The sequence below is a fragment of the Homo sapiens genome, chromosome 3, assembly GCF_000001405.40.
Source record: "Homo sapiens chromosome 3, GRCh38.p14 Primary Assembly".
Lineage (NCBI taxonomy): Eukaryota > Metazoa > Chordata > Mammalia > Primates > Hominidae > Homo > Homo sapiens.
Window position 1 is genome coordinate 37,679,334 of NC_000003.12, and position 22,035 is coordinate 37,701,368.

General features: G+C 45.0%; 1 protein-coding gene across 1 annotated transcript in view, besides 1 other annotated feature; it reads left to right on the forward strand.

The window, feature by feature from the left end:
- The window catches only part of ITGA9 (integrin subunit alpha 9), a 371,367-nt gene that overhangs the window by 227,193 nt on the left and 122,139 nt on the right, over positions 1 to 22,035 (forward strand). The window contains exon 18 of the mRNA NM_002207.3: positions 4,532 to 4,682. Coding sequence (NP_002198.2) covers positions 4,532 to 4,682 — 151 coding nt within the window. The remainder of the gene's footprint in view (positions 1 to 4,531; positions 4,683 to 22,035) is intronic.
- Positions 14,159 to 14,850: an enhancer, noted in NCBI's record as "NANOG-H3K4me1 hESC enhancer chr3:37734983-37735674 (GRCh37/hg19 assembly coordinates)". NCBI's record gives its function as "activates a minimal SCP1, AML or CMV promoter by ChIP-STARR-seq in naive and primed H9 embryonic stem cells {active_cell/tissue: H9 hESC(naive and primed)}" and the evidence as "EXISTENCE:reporter gene assay evidence [ECO:0000049][PMID:30033119]".

A 22,035-nucleotide genomic window follows, 5' to 3' on the forward strand; every position in this document is an offset into this window, starting at 1 on the left:
TTCAGCAGGACTGTCAGAGAGGTTGGTCTTTGTGGAGTCCTGTTCCTTTCAGGTGTTTGTAAACTTTCTTGCCAAAGCCCTTCCCGACTGAGATGGAGTTGATATTAGAGCCATGGCTGGGACAACCTTCATGCCAAAGGAGGTGTGCTGCTAGTTGCAACTCAGACCCTGCATGGCCGGGTGACCTCAGTTGGGTGGGTTCCCCTTTCTGGGGCTCAACTTCTTCATCTGTAAAATGTGAAGGGGGAGCTGATGATCTGTTGTGGGGATGTCATGGATGTTCATTCATTCAAGTGTTCACTGAACACCTGCTAGGAGAGACCAACCTCTCTGACAGTCCTGCTGAAAGATGAAAACAATCAGGCACGGGGTTTTTATGCTGAACATTCCACGGTGCTTAGTTATTTATTGAAGAAGAATCTTTCTGATATTCAAGGAATTTTATTCCCTGAGAAATTATGTGCCAGGCACTACTCTGTCACTAGGAGTTCAACGATAAGCAAAGCCAGAGAAGGGTCCTACCCCTGATGTTTAGATTCTAGTAGGGGATAGACAGTCCTCAACCAAAAAGCCCCACAAACAAATGCATAACCACAACTTCGATAAGTGCCATGAAGGGTTGATGGGGCACATGGGGGGTGGGGGGCTCATAATGGGAGGATTTATTTCACCTAGGCAGGGAGATCAGGAAGGATCCCCTGGGGACATGATAGTCAGGGGGCTGGAGAATGTGGGTTATGTTGGAGAGGAATGAGTTTTGAAGGGATAGGAGTTGCTGGGTTCTCATACCAGCACAGCGTCTTCTCTCTCTTCATCTCAATTTCCTCATCTCTCTAATATGGGCCTAATATCAAGACCCTTTCTCAGTGTTGTGAGGTTTCAGAAGGATGACATATTTGACAACACCCAATATCATGCTGGCACATCACATTTTCATTTCATTTCTAAAAATAACTTTGGAAGCAGAGATGTGCTGTTTTAGTCAAAGACTTTTTTAGCTTTGGAGAAAGAATGAAACCCCAGCTTTGAGACTCCTCTAAAAAAAATCTGAGTTCACATTCTGCCCTGGAAGTTGCCTGGCTGCTTCCCTTAATCACAGAGCCTTGTTTGAATCACTTGACTTTGAAATCCCAGGAATGACTTTGCTGTGTGATTAAGTGACAGAGGCCCAAGGTTTGGGGATTGGCAGAAGTTTAGATGTCCCTGGCCTGATCCCTTACCCTTTACATATAAGGAAAGGAAGCTGATCACATGAACAACTAAACTGGAATGAGGAGGCAGCCCCTCCTCCATGGTCCTGGGCTCATCTATACTGTCTCCCTGCCAAATATTCCATGGAAACCTTGGACACTGTCTGATGTCAGGACTACTTATGAATGCCTGTCCACTTCCTTCTCAAGATAAAGCTAGGTTAGCACTCTCTCATAACTCAAGCCTGAGGTTTATTCTTTTAATCTTCCAAAAGCAAACAGAAGAACAGAAATAACCTATCCACTGTTTAAGATTAAAATGGCCAACAATAATAAATAATTGCCACAATAGCTTGAGATCAGGGTCTTAATTTATTGGAGGCCGTTCAAGAATTTGCAGCTCTTAAGTTAATTTTTCACATCTTGTTTGGATCCTCAGAGCCCGTGCTTCCAAAGCAAGGCCATCATATTTCTCATTGCACATGTTATTCTTGTTGATGTGCCAGACATGCAGGAGAGTGAGGTCCTCTCTTCACGGATGGGTAATGAGGATTCCACCCCCCCAGAAATTAGTATTTCAAAGTATTTTTGCCTATGGAGATTTTGAAGAGTTCTCTTCTTTTGCATGGTGTATTAGCTGTATTAATGGTTGCAAACAAGAAAAACGTATGCTGGTTAATTTAAGCAGAAAAGGAATTTATTAAAAGGATGTGGGGTGGTTCAGAGCATAGACAAGAAGGCTGGGGAACCAACACAGGCAGGAAACAGAGGAGGCAAGTCTTAGTCCAGGGTTCCACCTCTGGGCCCTTTACTCCTCTGTAGCTACTTCAGATGATCCCTGGTGTCTCTGTGCAACCCTCAAAATTTGTAGCCCTGGGTGGGAGCATCTGTTCTCACATCGCTGCCACTTGATCACCCTTAGATCACATGATTTCACTTAGGCAAGTGCCCACACCCTAGTGATCAAGAAGAGGGGAAAGAGAGGGTCTGCCCCCTTTCTGCTGATGTGCCGCCCCACCTATCTTGAGATTCCCCCAAAACACGAGGATGTCAGGATGCTGAGTGGCCAAAAATAACAACTGTTCATTATACAAACCCTTATATCCTTAATTACGTCTTCCATTAACTGGTTATCCGATTAAAACTGGCCACTCACATGGATTTATTTTGTTCAAAGGTCGCATCACACAATAATCATCAGTCTCTCATGCATCTTCATCCTTGTCATCTTCAGCCTCAGCCTTATCACCGTTCTCATCCTAGCCCCGTTCACTCACCCCTGTCCTGGGCCCCCATTTCCCTCCATCTCCTCACCTCTCAAACGTTCACCTCTTTCTCCTCCAACTCCCAGTCTTTCACCCTACTTCTATTTCACTACAAAATAGAAGCAATCACAGAGGAATTCCCGCATGTTCCTACCACCCATCTACTAATGCATCTTCAGCTCACCTCCAGCCAGGCGAGAACAGTCATTCATCAGACCCCAGCAATTGTTGCCTGTCGTGTTTTCATTAATTGTTGCCTCTCTAATGGATCATTCCCATTAGCTTGCAAATATGCTATGATAATTCCCATCTTAATAAAAAAGAGCAAAAAAACTCCCTGGAGCCCACTTCCCCCACCAGCTACCATCCAATTTCTCTGTTCTCCTTTAGAGAAAAACTCCTCCAAATAGTTGTCTGTCCTCATTGCTTCCATTTGTTCTCCTCCTACATCTCTGAAACTCTCTCCAGTTAGGCTTTCCTCCCATCGTGCCACTTCAGCAGTTCTTATCAAGGTCACCAGTGACCTCCAGAAGGCTGATTCCAATGGCCAGTTCTAATTATTCCCATTGTTCTGGCCTGTCTGCCATATTGGACAAAATTGATCCTTCCTTTCTTGAGACTGTCCTCTGTGACCATGTGGATGACTCCTCTCTCGATTTTCCTCTTCCTTCTCTAGCCATGCTTTTCCAGTCTTGTTGGCTGACACCTCCTCATCTTCAACTCCTAAATGTGAGTCCTCATTTCTATCTATACTCATTTCCTAGTGATCGTTTCTAGTCTGTCCCAAATGTATCCTAGCCCAGACCCCTCCTTCAACTCCAGACTCATGCATCCACCTGCCTCAAAATCTCCTTTAAAACCCAATAGGCATTTGGATTTTCTCTGCTGAACCTTCTCAACCCAGTCTTTCCCATCTCAATAAATGACAACTTTTCTCTTCTAGTTATTGAATCCAAAATCCTTGAAGCAGTCCTTGACTCCTCTTTTCCTAACACCCTTCATCCAGTCCATGAGAAAAATCTGTTGGCATGACCTTTGAAATGTGTCCAGAATATGACCCCTTCTCACCCCCTCAGCTGCCATCACCCTGGCCTTCACGTTCATCTTCTCACACCTGGATTGTCACAAGAGCCTCCTACTCAGGCCCCCTGTTCCTCTCCTGGCCACTCCACAGACCGTTCACATCATAGCCAATGCGAGCCTCCTTTAAACACTAACGTCAAGTCACGCTGCTCCTCTGCTCAGAGCCCTGAAGGGGCTTCCGAGGGTCAAACCAAGGTCCCTGTGCTGGCCCTCAAGGCCCTGTGGGATCTGCTGCCCCAACTCCCTCAGTCCCTCTGAGCTCAATCCTTCCTGCTCTCTTTATCACTCCTCTCCAGCTGCACTGACCTCCTTGCTGTTACCTGCACATGCCAGGCACACGCCCACCTCAGGACTTCTCCTTTGCTAGTCCCCACATACCGTGTTTCTTGCTCCCCTTCTTTCTTCGGGTTTGTACTGAGAAGTCACCTCATCAGTGAGACTTCCCTGATCACCTTATTGTAAATTGCACCCCACCTCCCTTGTAAGTCTGGCATGTTCTATCTTCCTTACCCTTTGTAAGTTTTCTCCACAGTTCTTACCACAATCTGACAGACATATTTGCTTCTTTCTATGTGTGTTTTCTCTCTCCCTGAAGCTACCAGGACTCTGTTTTCTTTGCTGCTACTTCCCTAGCACGGAGTAGTGGCTGGCACATGGTAGGCACTCAGAAATAACCGCATGAATTCATGTACAAATGAATCCCACGCTTAGGTTGTTAAGTGCCTTATAGTTTTTGAAGTTTGATGTACAAGATTTCATGTGAGCCTCTAAACAGTCTAGTGAGTTAGGCAAGGTAGAACCCTGTGCTTTACATGAGGAAGCTGAGGCCCTAGAGCTAACTGATTGCCCAAGGACACATGGCTAGTTAATGGGGCTCCTGGAACTTGTAGTTCTGATCTCGGTTTCTGCCCCCCACCTTCAACTACCCCCTGTGCCTCATGTTATATTAGTGTAGGCCTCAGGGCATTCATTGCTGTCTATTTTTCGTTACAGTATGGATGAGAAAACCCTGTATCTAGCTTTGGGGGCTGTGAAGAACATCTCCCTAAACATCTCTATCTCCAACCTCGGAGATGATGCCTATGATGCCAACGTGTCCTTCAATGTTTCCCGGGAGCTCTTCTTCATCAACATGTGGCAGAAGGTAAGGAGGGCATCCCTGTAAAAAGAGCAGTTGTTCCATCTGGTGCGCTTGCTGACTTTCATTATTGCCTGGAATAGGCAATGATTCTACAAGCACTAATCCTTTCTGTGGACTATCATTTAGAATGATTAGAACTTTTTTCTTCCTGGGCTTAGAAAACATGTTGGTATAGCCAAAGAAGCAGCCGTAAATGCCCACAGAGTGCCAGAGAAGTGTCTGTATTTATGTAGTCTCCCATCCCTTCTCTCTTGTGGAATCCTCTCCCTATGGTTTTACATCTGGCCCCTTCTTGGAGATGATACAGTTGCTGTCTCCAGCACACACATGTTCTAGAGAATTCCAGTTTTAGGTCAGTAGTTGTGAAAGTAAGGGCAGATCACTGCTTGTCGTGTTAGTTATTATGTATGATGTACTTGATGTTTCTAGTAGAGGGTCACTGCTTTGGCCTGTGCTTTGGATTATTTATTTATTTATTTTTTGAGACAAGTCTCGCTCTGTCACCCAGGCTGGAGTGCAGTGCCACAATCTTGGCTCACTGCAACCTCCACCTCCTGAGTTCAAGTGATCCTCCCACCTCATCCTCCCGAGTAGCTGGGACTACAGGTGTGCACCTGGCTAATTTTTGTATTTTTTGGTAGAGACAGGGTTTTGCCATGTTGGCCAGGCTGGTCTGGAAATCCTGACCTCAAGTGATCCGCCTGCCTCAGCCTCCCAAAGTGCTGGGATTACAGGTGTGACCCACCGCCCCTGGCCTTCCTAACATATTTGAGTGAATTGAGGTAGTTAAATTATTTCCACAAATTGAGTGAGTTTTTTTAGAGTAAATTAATTTGAATGAAGTGAAGTTTATATAGCATGACTCAAAGGTACAGTGCTGGTATTCTCCCCTACCCATAATCATCCCGAGTGTACCACCTCTCAGAGGAAGTGAACAGGCTTCCCTGCAGACAACAAGGGGGAACAAGTGGACAAAAGTCGACTCTGCTCTACCCAGTGTTGCTCTAACTGCTGATAGCTGTTCAGCTGGGACTGCTTGCAGCTTTTTAATATTTACAGCATTGAACGGGGTTGCCTTGTTCTTTATGTTAAAATGGAACCAAAATCACTTTCTGTGGAAAACCTTCACTCTGCCCACCGATGAGCACTGGGCATACATTGAGCAGGTCAACGGCGTTTGTTCAGGCACATATTCTGTGGCCTCAATAGTGTTGACAGGTTTGTGCCAAGCCTGCCCAGCTTAGGGGACAGCTGAAATGCTCAGAGCCACCAACAGTAGAGGCACTCCAAAACTTTCCAAGAAGTCATCTCAGATTCCCTGCTGCTTCATAGCTTTTAGGAGCTCCAGGGTTGAGGGAGGCCACAAAAGCAATCAAGGACTGCAGGAGGGGTGTGCTTTCCATCCACTTTCTATATTCTAAAAATTACCGCTGGATTAAGCCCAGTCAAGAGAGAACCAAGTATCTGTATGGTTCAAGTATCGCTGGCCACACACACAGTATCTTTTACAGAATCGCATGTGCTGTGATGCCATCTCCCTGTGCAGGGTGGGTTGGTAGGTGGGGGAAAGGGGCTTCCTTGGGGATTTGATCTGTGGAACTCATCTCTGTGGTAACTGAAAAGATGTAATTGGCAACTGGCTCATTACATTACACAGATTTCTCTCACTCAGGACCCATGCGAGAAATTTCCTTCCAGCCTCATTTAAGCTATTTCCAGACTTAGAAATAGCTGTCCCTTTGCCTGAGAATTTTGGCTTGTTTTTACCTTGTGACTGACTAGGCTTCATTCTCTTTATTGGCTGCTAGAAAGCTCAGAGCTGACCCCACTCTGTCAGTATATAGGACTTAGTCTTACTATTTTATAAACTCACTAGCCTCCTGTATCTTGCTTTGCTCCCCCTTTACCATGCTTTTCTTTTTAGCTTGGAGATTGCATAATATTCTACCATATGGATATACTGTGGATTTACCTTAAAAATTCCTCTTATTCTGTATTTAGGTTATTCCCAGTTTCTATATTAAGTAAAATTGTGAGAAATGTCTTTTATGGAGATTAGTACCAGTAAATGATCATATCCTTAGCTCTATAACTTTTCAGAGGGTGTGAAGTCACATTTTTGACCACCTACTATACACCAGGGACTTTTTGCATCTCGTCCGCATCCCCTCTTCACTGCATGAGGCACAATGTGTGTGAATTATTGGAGGAGCACTCTCAGGAGAAGAGGGGCGAGGGAGCAGGGAGGGGCAGGGGATGGGCTGGGAGGGATGTGCTGTCGGGTCAAAGCTAGCCTTGGTCTGATTTATGGGCTGGGAAGAGGTGGGGAAGCCCTGGAGCATAAATCACTCTGCAGAATTGTCCCCCCTTGAAGCTGCTGGGGACAGCATCATTTTCTACCCCTGTATCGTCATTGGCCACTGGAGGGACGCAGGCGTGGTGAGTAGCCTCCCAAGCATGCTGGACAAGGAGGCTCTAGGAAGTCAAAGACAATGTGCCTGGGAAGGCCACAGGTACAAGCCATTGGCCACTGTAGCTGGCCATGGGAAAAATGGGAGCACATCATTTTGATCTCTTTGCCATTGAATTCCAGCAACCTTTGAAACCTTTGTCACAAGGAACCCTAGGTTTCAGTTCGACAGAAACTTGACAAAGCATCAGGCTCTTCGGGACGTGGTGAGTGTTAGCTCCAGAGTGGTGATGGAGCAGGGAGGTATCTTGTAGCTGCTGTGGAGGCAGGGCCAGCCAGAAACGCAGATGGGCAAGACGACCCTCAGGGTGGCAGGAAAAGGAAGGGAAAAGAAACAGAAACTACCCTTCCAGGACTCCAGCCACGCTGCAAGGTTGATAAACAGCGGATGTAAATGGCATCACCCAGCACCGGGTAGGATTCTGACAGGACCCAGTGGCTAGTGAGGGGCACCAGGAGAGCCCCCCCAACCTGCTTAACAACCCACAGGCCTAACAGGACCAACATGGGCCTGTGAAATATTCTAATGGGTAAACTAAGAAAAGCATGACTAAGATACAGAGGGAAAGCATAAGTTTTAAAAAGATTATTAATAGAAAACAAAAGTAAATTTTACAGAGCATCTACTTTTTGATGAAAGTCAAAAAAAATGAACAAAGTGGAAGATCAGACAGTAGAACAATAGACTGTATGAAAATGGAATGGACTGGGAGGCAAGCAAAAATAAATGTTATGGATGGGATAAAGAAATGTTACAATGAAACCAGGAAATCAGTGGCAGAATTAAAATATGTTATAGTCAGGAAAGAGCAGAATCAGCAGAACAGAAAATTGATTTAATGATGCGGAGGTGTTTTTGAGAGGCTCTGAGAATTCAGAGAAAAAGAACAAAGCAATAAAAAAGGATGACATGAGGACTATATTGTGGAAGGTAGAAACTGGAAAACAGCAAAGAGAAAATGGTTCCAGAATAATTGGAACAGAAGCCATTCCTTAGACAGCAAAGGAGGATCTCCATTTCCTGAAATGGGTGCAGCAGACACCAGGCAAAAATATTTAAAACATTTTAATGTCTACAAATAGCTTCATGAAATTTTTAATTTTAAGGATATGAAAATGATACTATTAACACTTAGCAGAAAACAAAGAAACCAGTTTCTACAGACTTTTCTGTAACATTAATGTCCAAAATTAGAACAGTATATTCCATTGTGAATTTTAAATTCAACACACAGCCAACTTGCCCTCCATTGTGACGTCAAAATAAAGATATACTCAGATATATGAGAATTCATAGGCTATTACCTCTTCCAGTTTGGATTTCCCCAAAAGCATACCCTGATACAATGATACAGGTACAGGTAGTTTATTTGGGGGTGGGCGATCTCAGTGTTGAGTTTAGACAGGAAAGAGAGGAAAGACAGGAAGGCGTGCATTTATAAGCAGGTTACTGCCGTAGGCACCTTGGGCTTGTCTTCCTCAGACCCTCCAAGAGACTGTGTGTAACAAACCTCACATCCACTTCACTCCAGGATGAGGAAGCTGCTGGAGGACCGATCCCCCAGCTCCTGTCATTCATCATGGAGAACCATTCCCTGGGCATGAACTCTCTGGCACTTCCAGCCTTCTCTAAGTAGGTCCACACTGCCTGGGGCCAGGAAGCAACTCAGGCAGAAAGATGTGGGAAGCCTTTGACCTGGAGGGGCATGGCTTCAGGTGACCAGAACTGTGGCTGGTTCTGGGGAATGTGAGCGAGGTGCTAGCCACATCTGCTATAGTAACCATGAGAGCTTCCTGAAAAGTAGTTATTTACTGATAAACTACTCAAGAATACAAAAGTAGTTGAATAAAAAGTGTGCCACAGCCAAATAAGCATAGAATGAAGCAAAACAATTTTTATAAATATTTACAATAGTAAGCAAATGTAAAAAAAAGTATTGCCATGGTAAATGCATAATTTAAAAGATTAATAAAAATAATCCCATAATCTCAGTTATACCAATAACAATTTGAGAAGAAAGTTGACATTGTGACTCCTCTGCTTCACTTTCTTCAGGAAGGAGTTCAGACTCCTCAGCTCCTCATGAGAGGCCGTCCTGAGCCTGGTCCTGCCTGCCTGCCTTTCTCCCCAGACCCCTGGCTCACCATGCCCCCACATACTCACTTGAATCAGTCGCCACTTAATACCAAAGCTGCCTTTACCCAGGAATCACCCCCACCCCCCATTTTTGTTTAATGAACTACTATGTCCTTAAATCTCAGCTTAGGGAGCCCGTGTGCAGGCTCCTCACCTGGCTGCACAGGATCTGTCCACAGAATAGATGGATGGATGGATGGATGGGTGGGTGGGTGGCTGAATGGTTAGATAGGTAGGTAGGTAGATGACTGGCTGGGTGACTGGGTGGATGAGTGGGTGGATAGTTATGTGGATAGGTGAGTGGGGATGGCTGGCTGGGTGGATGAGTGGGTATGTGGGTGGATGGGCAGGTGAGTGGATGACTGGCTGGGTGGATGGGTGTGTGAGTGGATGGCTGGCTGGGTGGATGAGTGGATGGGTGAGTGGATGGCTGGCTGGGTGGATGGGTGGGCGGGTAGGTGGATGGATGATTATTCATTTTGTGCAAAGTTACAGAGACTCAAGGCCCAGGCCTCCAAGGTTACCTATCTTCTCTGTCATCACACAGTCCATTAGTTATGTATTAGCTTCTAAGACTGAATACAAAATATCCCCTGCAATGGATTTTTCTGTCTTCTAATGCAAAACTACTTTCATAGATTTATTCTGGATTATTTTTTCCTTTGAGGGAAGGCTGCTTATAAAAACATGGGGTACACATGGATGACCATCTGCTGGCTTTTTTCTCTCCTAAATAAAGCTAACTTGAAAACACATTATAAAAGAGGGCTTAATTTGTTGGTGGCTACTCTGCTGGCTGGCGTGTGCTGTCCAGCCAGAGCACAGGGTATTATGGCCAGCAACTGGGTTTCCTCAGGGGCAGGCCCAGTGCACCGTGTTGCCTGCCGGGCAAGGAACCAGCAAAGCCTCACTACAGAGTGACAATTCCTGGGGTGCCCTGTGGGAGCAGTGAGAGGGAGCTCCTGGGGCCGGGGGGTGCTGCATGGTTAAAAAGGAGCATAAGGAAGAATAGATAACCACTGCATCACACCAGGGTCACCATTCACACTGGGTTCCATGTAAACGACACCTCCACAGAATATAATGTGAGTGGTGTCCCTGGAGATGTACAGCTCTATGGCCCTGGAGTCAAGGTAAAGCCTCATTTTAATTTTTTGCCCTGGAGCCGTTTGGCACAAAGGACTTTGGCTCTTCTTGCCTTTGTCAAACAGCCATGAATTTGTTTGGACAGCAGTTGTTGAATGCCTGCTAAATGCTAGGGACTGTTCCAGCCACAAGGAGACACAAAGATCTAGTCCCTGCTCCCAGGGAGCTCATGGCCTATTGGGGCCAAAGGCATGTCAGTAAGCAATTAAAGCACAAGGTGCCAGCTGCTCTACAGAGGTGCTGAAACGTTGTTTGAAGCACAGATATGACAAGGTGAAGCAAGTCATTACCACAGTGGCTAGTGCCATGTTGGACAGAATCCTTGGATAAGTGCTTAAGGTACATGGATGAGCCTCCAAAGGATCTGATGTCAGCTGATTCCTACATTGCAGAGCTAGGGTGGGTGGAATGAGTCAGTTTATTTGGCTGGTGAAGGAGGAACCTAGGTTGGAGCAGGGATGAGAGGGTAGAAGAGAGCAAAGGAGGAGGGGCAGGAGAGAACCCGGTAGGATGGAAAGAGGCTGCCCATGTTGAACAAAGGGCCAGTAACATTTCTGGTGGCAGGGAGATGTCAGGACATTTTAGAAATCTGATGCCTGCTGTTACAGGCCTGTCAGGACTTTACCACTCATAGGTTCTAAGAAATCTCCCCTCCCCACCTCATTCTGTTTTGTTTTTAGCCCATTCTGGATTTCTGCACTCATGCATGCCTCATGTGACCAGGGATAGGCAGGGAGAAAAACTCAAGGGGCTGGGGTTATGTGTACATCTTCATGGTATTGACTGTTATGGCATGCATGGAAACAGACCTGGACATGAAAGGATAAGCTTCAAGCCAGGTGCATGAGGGCTCCCAGCTGACTTTTGGGTGCAAACAGGATGCAACAGCTTGCCACAGAGTGATAGAGGAGGCCATGCTAGGAGAGAAGGGAGAACAAGCAGGGCAGGCACCCTGGCCCGACTCTTACACACAGTGTGAGATGCTCTCTTGGTTTGGGTCTCCCAGATGGCGAGGAATTCAGGGAAATTTCTTTATTTGGGAGATGCAAGAAATAATGGTAGGGGGTTGAAGTGATATAGTAGGGAGGTGAAACAATGGTAGGGAGGTGAAGTTATATAGGCAGGAGGCAGTGAATGAAAAGTGAGCTGTTAAACCAACTACTACAGTGGGCAATGGGGCTTATTCCTGCAGGGCAACACTAGGAAGAGTAAGGGAGCTGGGGGTTTTATACTCCTTTCCCCAAGTGTCAAGAATTGAGGTCTCCTGGGGCTATTTATATTCTCCAGTACTCCTGCCCTCCCATATGCATGGCAGGAGAGACCTACATGGTTTTGGAAAAATGCTCTTGGGTGCAGAGATGCCGTAATATAGCCCCTGGCAGCTGGAAGTGGGCTGGAGCACCCTGAGAGTGCAAGTAATGTGGTCAGGGCTCACCAGCCTCTGCCAGAGAGGCCCACAGGATTAGAAGTATCTCTAACCTGAGCACCTCACTTTCTAGACTCCTAGAAGTTGTGGGTTGGTCTGATAGAGCCTCGCTGAGGTTCTTATACAAGATCTAGTAGCATACACCTCACAGTGTGCAGGAGTTGGGTGAGGCAGGTGTGGTATGTGGGTGAAGAGGACCAGGGTGGGGCAGGAGGAAGCAGTGAAGACAGTGGGAAGATGGAGGGTTCCAGCTTCACCCACAGGGCAGCAGGCTCACAGCAGCATTCAGTGGTTGCCAGGTGGGAGTGAGGCCCAGCACACTCTATTTTCTAATAAAACCGAGAGATCTTATGACTTTGGCAGCTAATTAAAATGTTTTCTGAACATCGTATGAGCCAAACAAAACATGTCCAGTGACCACCTCCAGCCTGCAGGCCACCAGCCTGTGACCTCCAGCCTGGCTGTTTTCCGTATGTTCTAGTCCGGATCTGCATTTCTGGTAGAACTAGTCTGTCTGCAGCCTTACTGTGTTTCATGTTCTCCCCTTGGCAACAGATAAATTAGTCAAAGAGATGAGAGTTTGGGGCTTCAAGTGTCCGAGTGTCTGGGGAAGGAGAGGAGTGGAGAGGGTCAACCGGAATGTAGTGTCCATGGAATTTTTAGAACTCATGATGTTTTGAAAACTATTTGCTGGCTGGAATATTTGTACTTCACAGTGATTGCAAGAAGCAGCTAAACTGGAGTTTGAATTTTAGAAGCTGCTAGAAGTAAAATAACAGGCAACCAGTGTGAAATAGAGGGAAAGTGTAGCTTTGGTGACCAGCAGATGCAGAGTTGAGATTCCAACTCTGTTTCTTGTGGCCAGTGTGGCCTTGGCTCAAGGGTCTTCTCTCTGTGCCTCAGTTTCTTTCTCTATAAAGTGGGATTGTGCCAAGGATTAAATGAGTCCTACACCATCATGTACAGTCCCACTTGTATATGATGGGTACTACCATGGTAGTCCCGACTCTGCCACACATGAGCTTATACTTTATAGCTCATTCATTTACTCAGAAGAGATATACTGATCACCTACTTCAGACCAAGATTAAATGCTGAGGGGGAAGAGGAAAATAAGGCAAGAATATAAAACATAGAATGTATGTCAGGGGGTGATAACTCTTCCTTTTAAGCCAAAAATTATCAGTCATTGTCTTAATGAAGGATTGAGAGAGAGAGAGAGTGTGTGTGTGTGTGTGTGTGTGTGTGTGTGTCTACATACTGTAAAAAAAAATAGAGACAGTGTTAAACTGAACATTTTTTAATTTAATGAGTTGCTTGTACTTAAGAAAATAAAATTATATGAAAATTAATGTGAAGCAGTAAATATAGGTCAGTTCAATAAATGTCTGTGTTGGCTTTTGTGACTCCTGATTTTTTTAAAATAATGCTTGTTGATTTTTTTTTTCCATTTACTTACCATTTGCTTAAGTATTGGAGTTTTTGGTTTAGGGATATTGACTTTTTAAAACCAAGATATATAATTGTTCAAATATGTGATGCACGTAATACATAATAGCGAAGTTTAGATAATGAGGAGAATAATGCCCTCCAAAAACAATGGCAGGGGGCTAGGTCCTGACTCTTTCAGACTGGGCAGGGAGGCATCTGGCCCAAAGGGCTGGAGGAGTGCGGTATGGGATTCAGACTTTTTATCAGGTAGGCAGTAAGTGAGGTCTTGACTGAGAGAACAGAGAACGAAGAACAGAGGCTAGAGACATCTTAGAGGAAGAACAAAGAAACAGTGCTGACAGGCCAGGAAGGTCAGAGACTCAGTGTTGGGACTGCTGGAAGAAAGACAAGTGAGGAAGAGGGGTGATTGTGAACTCAGCAGGGAGAACCCAGATCCTCTACTCCTGATCATGCTCTAGCGCACAGAGCACTGTAAGCTCGTGAGGAATGTGCTTCGTACCTGGCATCGGTTGGCCATAAGTCACTGAATTTGGCTAATAAGATGTTGCATTGTCTCTGATCTCCTTGAGAGACTGAGATAGATGGATAGGCCCTAGGTCCTTATTTCCTCCATGGGAGGGTATTGTGGGAGGGGTGATGATGTTCGAAGGGAAGCTCATTTTTGCTGTTTCTAAGGAGTATAATTTGAGTTCCAAATTAAACTGGTCTTCCAAGTTGGGGTTTGGAGGCAGTAAAGCACCAGGTCAACTTTCAAGGCTTTCAGTGGCTAATTTTTTATGACAGAAGGCATCGAGGGCTTGTAAGTTTGTTTTTCTTATCAAGTGATTCTTCAGATTATATCTACCTTTACCACAGAAAGGGTGGTCCCTTTCTTTCAGGAGTGGTTCTCTCTTCACTTTCAAGGCAAACCGCTCAAGATGGCACCAGGTGATAAAACAGATCCACTTGCTAATCTGGATAGAGCAGGAAGGACTTAAACATTTATGTGTTTGTATACCTTTATTTGAGGGAGTGCTTTGGCCTGTTTTTAGACAGAAGGTTCCATACAGAAACTGCATCTGGGCAGGAGAACAAAGCAAATTGTGTTACAGCCGGGAAACCAAGCATTGAGCAACAGAATGGTTCTTAGGCAGAAGTGAGCCTCATCCCTCAGTGCTGGGACAGATTACAGCCTTCCTTCACTGCCGCTTTCATTCAGCGCAGGGACTGATTTTCATTGTGTTCTGCTTTCTCTGGTGTCTCTTGTCAAGTTAATAGTAGCCTCAAGTAAAATTCAACCCTTAGATGTTTATAGTCATCTTGGCCTGGCCATTAAGATGATGAATGAACTTGCTGCTTGCCCTGGTAAGAGAGCCCTGAGGGTGGATGCCGATACTTAGAAAATAATAAGTCTTTTCCGCCCCCTTCCTGTCTTTAATCCAGTGCCCCAAGCCCCCTGGTGACTTTACCTTGAACTTCCTGTATAACGCCAGGTAGAAAAGCCTCACCTGGCTGGAAGCCCACTCGAGGCTCTAACACAACAGCAAGCTCTTTATCTTGCTTTGTTGGTCTTCCCCATCCGCTTATCAGATGGAAACTCGGCATTCCTCAGAGACCCTTCAGTGTTTCTCAGTTGCTTCTGCAGGCCCTTCCCTTCCTCCTTGAGAGGACAAGAGAAGGTGGCGGGGAGCAGGCACCCCCAGCCTGTGTTTGTATTTCCTCACCTGGATTACCTGTGGCCCTTGCATCAGGGAGAGCCCAGCCTTGAGTGAAACTGCCTGGGAGACAGGCTGGGCGCTTCCTGCGGCAGTCGGCAGTGAGGAAGTGGTGGAGAAACGCAGATGTCCATTTCAAATCACAAGGCGGCTTCAGTATTCCGCCGCGGGGCTCAGCTTTCACGTATATGAAAAGCTTCATTTGTGTATTCACTGCGTTTGGAAGGAAGGCTATGTTTTGCTTTAGAAATGTCAACAGAGCTGTAGTTACGACAAGGATCAATTAAGAAGGACGTTTCCCAGAGCCGCAAGACTTGAGTGAATCTGTGGGGGGAATTTAGAAAACATGTGTTAAACCTCTAGATTTCTTTTTTTCTAACTAACTGCAAAACAGCAATTTAATAATTTCCTCTTTTAAGGGGAAAGGGGGGAGTCTTGGATTTTAAATCTTCCTAAAGCAGCACAGCATCTCTTGAAAAGAAAGCCATGAAAGACTACTAAGCTAAGGCGAATAAAATAAAATTTTCAAAAATCGAGAACTTCAGTGTCCTAGTCTGGGTTTCCCTGAGCAGATCCTGAGATGAGGGCTCACATGCAAGTGGTTCATAAAGGATGTGTTTCCGGGGGAAGACAGGTAGGGAGTGGAGAGACGCAGGACAGGGCAGGACTGAAACTCAGGCAGGGTCCCTCAGAGCGTGGCCTCAGCCTGATGCTGCAAGGGGGATCAGAGGTGTGAGTTACGCCAAGGTACTGTTCCATCTCCAGCTTAGGAAGCTGAGTTTTGTTCTCCCGTAAACACCAGTCATTGGTTAAGGGCCACTTAGGGAGGAATAAGTGGTAGAAAGTGGTCCTAGGCACTTTCCACCCAGGGGTGAAGTGTAGACAGTGGGGCTTCAATAGCTTAAGGGCAGAAGAAGACCCACGGTTCTGGCTCTTGGAGCCAAACGAAGACTGAAGCCACAGTGTGCATGTAAAGGGAGTCCAAGGAGCATTGGGTGGGGCATTGAAATTGTTTGCTACAGTCGGTTTACCTTCAACTGGTTTCCTTCTTGTTCTGAAGGATATATTACAAGCATATTGACAAAAGTCTTTGAACTCTTGAGGTGTTTGTATGATATTCTGTGTCAGTTGCACATGGGATGTTTCTACCAGCATCTGAATTGGGGAATTGACATATACAGATGCCCGTGGAATTTAACAGAGAATGTGAATGTACGGCTACAGTCCGTCACCATCCAGCTTGCCAGGGCTGTCATTTCATCCTTTTGAGGCCAGGCTTACAGACAGTCTGGGCTTCCACTGCCCCCATGCTCTGCCTGTGATGTGTGGTGGCCTCTGGCATTGTTGTAACTCAGGCACCTGAGCATAACTAGTGAGCCTGTCCTGCTCTCCCAAGCAAGTCTGTGTTTAAAATCAGTTAGGAATATGTTGGGCTGCATGTAACAGAAAAGCCACCTTTTTTAGCAGCTGATCCTTGTGAGACTTTTATTTTTCTTTGGTAATAATAAAATAAGAAATGGGCATTTCAGGGCTAGTATGCACCTGTGTGGTACCCACAGGAACCCCATTCCTTCTGTCTTTCCTCTCAGCCTGTCTTCATAGGGGTTTTCATCTCCATACTCCAAGGCTGGGCTTTCCCTGATGGTGCTTTTTGGTTTCCGCTTCCAACACTACAGCTGCATTCCAAGCAAGAAGGAGAAGGACAAAGGGCAAAAGGTCTGCCTCCTTTTAAAGAGCTTTCCTAAAGCTCCACTTGACATTTTCCACATATATCTCATTGGCCAGCACCATGCCACAAGGTGGGGTGGCAAATGAATTTTCTCAGCTGGGCACATTGCTACTCTAGACAGAGTCAGAGTTGTGTTTATTGGGAGGAAGGGAAGAGTGGCCATTGGGAAGCACCAGCAGAGTCAGCAGGGCAGAGACCTGAGAGAGGTAGTTTGTGAGTGTGTATCCCTGAGATACGTAGCAGAACTGGGGAAGGACTGCCCAGTGAGTCTACTCCCTTCAGTATTTGTCAGATCCTGCTCAATTATAAGATGATCTTTATCTGTCCGCCTTATCTATCTTCACTGACGTGTATTTCTTATTTTCACAAAATGAAGCCATTTCAACGATGTTGTCAATGTGTTTGGATTTCTGTCCTTCAACAGAGGTGCCACAGCTCCATACTAGGTCAATCCATGCAATAAAGACCAAGTTCCAGAACCCCTGTCCTTCAGACCATTTGGTATATATAATTTCCAGGCCCTTCTTCACTGTTCTGTTTATCACTCCCTGTGCTGTCTCTAGTTTGGCATCTTCCTTTTTAAAATAGAACCCAGGCTTGAACTGCAATTCAACCAGCCCAGCATAGTTATTATTGTCCCGAGTCTAAACATGATATTTCTGTTAATGTGGTAGCCACAGCACAATTCTATTTATTCTTGAGGCATTCCCTCTTTTATTTTCTTGGTCTTTTTGTGTTATTTGGAAGTGTAATCATGTCATTTATACCCTTGCTACTCGAATATGGTCCATGAACCAGCATGGTGACGTCACCTGGGAGTGTGTTAGAAATGCAGAATCTCAGGCCGCAGCCCTCCGGGGTCAGGATATGCATTTTAACAAGATCGTTGGGTATCTGTATGAAAATGAAAAATTGAAACCAGGGCGAGATATCCAGGGCCTCAGAGGAAAATCTCAAAATGGTCAGGGAGGTCCCTTCTTAGAGATGAGAAAGTCACTCAGAGGCTGCCATGGCCTAAGACTGAGACAAAGAGAATATGTCTGTATACAACTAAAGAAAAAGAGAAAAGGTTCGCTGGGCCAGAGAGTGGCTAGAGACTCGATTGTACTCAGACTTGCTGTATTACCAACAGGTAATGTACAGGACAGTCATGACCTACACCTGGCTAAATCCAGTAGTCATTTTTCAGTCTTCTTTCTGGACCCGTCAGCATCTATTAGTACAAATAACGACTACTTCTGTTATTATTATTATTATTATTATTATTATTATTATTATTATTATTATACTTTAAGTTCTAGGGTACATGTGCACAACGTGCAGGTTTGTTACATAGGTATACATGTGCCATGTTGGTTTGCTGCACCCATTAACTCATCATTTACATTAGATATTTCTCCTAATGCTGTCCCTCCCCTTGCCCCCAACCCCACGACAGGCCCCCATGTGTGATGTTCCCCTTCTTGTGTCCAAGTGTTCTCATTGTTCAATTCCCACCTATGAGTGAGAACATGGGGTGTTTGGTTTTCTATCCTTGTGATAGTTTGCTCAGAATGATGGTTTCCAGCTTCATCCATGTCCCTGCAAAGGACATGAACTCATCCCTTTTTATGGCTACATAGTATTCCATGGTGTATATGTGCCACATTTTCTTAATCTAGTCTATTATTGATGGACATTTGGGTTGGTTCCAAGTTTTTGCTATTGGAAATAGTGCTGCAATAAACATACGTGTGCATGTTCTTTATAGCAGCATGATTTATAATCCTTTGGGTATACACCCAATAATGGGATGGCTGGGTCAAATGGTGTTTCTAGTTCTAGATCCTTGAGGAATCACCACACTGTCTTCCACAATGGTTGAACTAGTTGACAGTCCCACCAACAGTGTAAAAGCATTCCTATTTCTCCACATCCTCTCCAGCATCTGTGGTTTCCTGACTTTTTAATGATTGCCATTCTAACTGGTGTGAGATGATATCTTATTGTGGTTTTGATTTGCATTTCTCTGATGGCCAGTGATGATGAGCATTTTTTCATGTGTCTTTTGGCTGCATAAATGTCTTCTTTTGAGAAGTGTCTGTTCATATCCTTTGCCCACTTTTGGATGGCATTGTTTGTTTTTTTTCTTGTACATTTGTTTAAGTTCTTTGTAGATTCTGGATATTAGCCCTTTGTCAGATGGGTAGATTGCAAAAATTTTCTCCCATTTTGTAGGTTGCCTGTTCACTCTGATGGTAGTTTCCTTTGCTGTGCAGAAGCTCTTTAGTTTAATTAGATCCCATTTGTCAATTTTGGCTTTTGTTGCCATTGCTTTTGGTGTTTTAGACATGAAGTCCTTGCCTATGCCTATGTCCTGAATGATATTGCCTAGGTTTTCTTCTAGGGTTTTTATGGTTTTAGGTCTAACATCTAAGTTTTTAATCTATCTTGAATTAATTTTTGTATAAGGTGTAAGGAAGAGATCCCGTTTTCCATCATATGAATATGCCACAATATGTTTTCTCCATTATCCTGATGATGGACATTGAAGTTGTTTCTGGTTTTATCTTTTGTGAATAAGGATACTAAGAACATTTTTATACCAGTTTTCGTGTGCATGTTTTTTTTCATTTATTGAGTAAATGCTAGTGAGTGTAGGTGCTGGCTCAAAGGGTCACTGTTTAGCTTTATTAGAAACTGCCAAATAGCTTTTCAAAGTGGTTCTGCCTTTTACACCCTCACCAGCAATGTATAAGAGTTTGAGTTGGTCCCCATCCTTGTATATTCAGTATTGTCAGTCATTTTTATTTTAGCCATTCTGGTGTGTAATTGTGTTTCTTTGTGATTTAGAGCTGCATCTCCCATATGACTAATAAACACGTTTTCACGTGCCCCTCAGCCATTGGGACACTTATTTTAGCCTGTTCAAGTCTTCTGCACTCCCTTCTTCTGGGGATACTTTTCTTCTCCTGTGCTGTGGTACACTCCTCACCCCAATTCTTCTCACTCGCCACTCCTTTTCTGCTTCCTTTGTTGGGGTCTCCTTATCTTGCCAACCTTTCAACATTGGAGAGCCTCAGGGTGCGGTCCTGAGAATGCTTTTCTTCTGTGTATACGCATTCCCTGGATGAACTGGTCAAGTCTCATAACTTCATATCATGGACATGCTGACAACTCCCAAATTTTCCCCTCCAGCCCAGAGCTCACTCCTGAACTCCAGCGTTGGGTACCAAATTGCCTGTTTGGCCTCTCCACTTGCTGTCTAACACATTTCTCACACTTAAGATGTCCAAAATGAGTTCCTGATCCTCCTGACACCTGTTCCATTTGTAGGAAACAGTAACTCCATCCTTCTTGGCTCTCCCTTTTCTCTCATACACCACATCTATTTCTCAAACACCCTGTTGGCTGATCCTACAGAGTATCTCATAATCCAGCCAGTTCTCACCATCACCATTGGTTCCATCTTGGTCCAAGTCACCATCGTCTTTTGCCTCATTATTGATTGGCAATAGCCTTCTTCATAATTGGTTTCCGTGCTTCCACCTTTACCTCTTACACTCCTCCTCTTACACTCCTTTGCTCAGAAGTCTCCAGTGGCTTCTCATCTCATTGTAAAGCTTAGTTTTTTATAATACCTCTAAGGCCCTAGAAGATCTGACCCCGTTGCTGCCTCTCTGAACATGTGTCCTGTCACTTTCTTCCTTGTAGCCTCAGTGGCCTCCTTCTGTTCCTTGAAACACACTAAGCTTATCCCTGCCTCAGGGCGTTGACACTGGCTCTTCCCTTAAATAGGCACATAGCCCACTCCCCATTTCCTTCTTGTCTGTGCTTAAATGTCACCTGATTAGAAATATCCTACTACTCCAAACACCCTATCTGTCCTCTTTATCTTGCTTTTCTCTATAGAACCTATGACCATCTGGCATACTATTTTTTTGTTTTGTTTTCTTGAAACAGAGTCTCCCTCTGTCACCCAGACTGGAGTGCAGTGGCATGATCTTGGCTCACTGCAACCTCCGCCTCCCTGGTTCAAGCAATTCTCCTCCTCAACCTCCCAAGTAGCTGGGATTATAGGTGCATGCTACCATGCTCAGCTAATTTTTTGTCTTTTTAGTAGAGATGGGGTTTCACCATGTTGGCTAGGCTGGTCTCGAATTCCTGGCCTCAAGTGATCCTCCCTCCTTGGCCTCCCAAAGTGCTGGGATGACAGGTGTGAGCCACTGCACCTAGCCGGACATACTATTTGTTTGTTGCTGGTTGTCTTAGTCCTCCTACCGGAATTAGGTTAGGTTTCTACATATAATATGCAATGACTTTTTTGAGACAAGGTCTCACTCTGTTGCCCAGGATAGAGTGCAGTGACATGATCTTGGCTCACTGCAACCTCCACCTCCCAGGCTCAAGCGATCCTCCCAGCCTCCGGAGTAGTTGGGAATACAGGCATGCACCACCACACCTGGGTAATTTTTGTATTTTCTGTAGAGATGGGGGTTTTGCCATGTTGCCCAGGCTGGTCTTGAACTCCTGAGCTCAAGTGATCCACCCACCTCAGCCTCCCAAAGTGCTGGAGATTACAGAGTGAGCCACCACACCCGGCCTGGAATGACTTTTTATTCATTGATTCATACCTAGTAACTGCAGCAGTGCCTGGATGTGTGGTAGGATCTCAATCTTTGTTGAATAAACTAATGGATGGTGGGCAAATAAATGGATAGAAGATGGGTATATCTATCTTTCTCTGTACTTTATGAGCACTCTTTCAATTATTGTTTTATATTACACCAGTAATTTTTAAGTAGTGTTAAAAACTAGTAAACAATGTAGGGGTTTGGAGAAAAATGCTAATTCCTTATCTCCCGGAAAAGGGAAACCATCAGGAATCAGAAATGGAGAAATGCTTCCCCCACCTGGTGATTGCATCTTGCTGTATGGGATCAGGCCTGAAAAGTGAGTTAAGTCTGTTGGTGCTGGAACTCATCACTGAGGAACAGCCTATGTCTGTGCCTTCAGGGGTGACAGACAGTGGACCAAGGCCATGCCTGCATATTCCTCCCTGGACCCCTCATTCAAAGCCAGAATCTCTTTCCTGCCAGAGCAGTCCTTTGTCCACATGGGTTTCTGCAGTAGCCCAAGTTTGCAGGCCCTTGATAGGGCTGGAGTGTGAGCTGTAATCCTATGGGCTTGAAATAATCTCTGCTATGGGCTCTTTAAAATAACCCCAAGTAACACTCATGTCTTATTTAGGTATCCCCAGAAGCAAACCCTGAGATAAGAATTCAAGTGTAAAGTACCTGTAGTTTGTTTGGGAGGTGAAGAT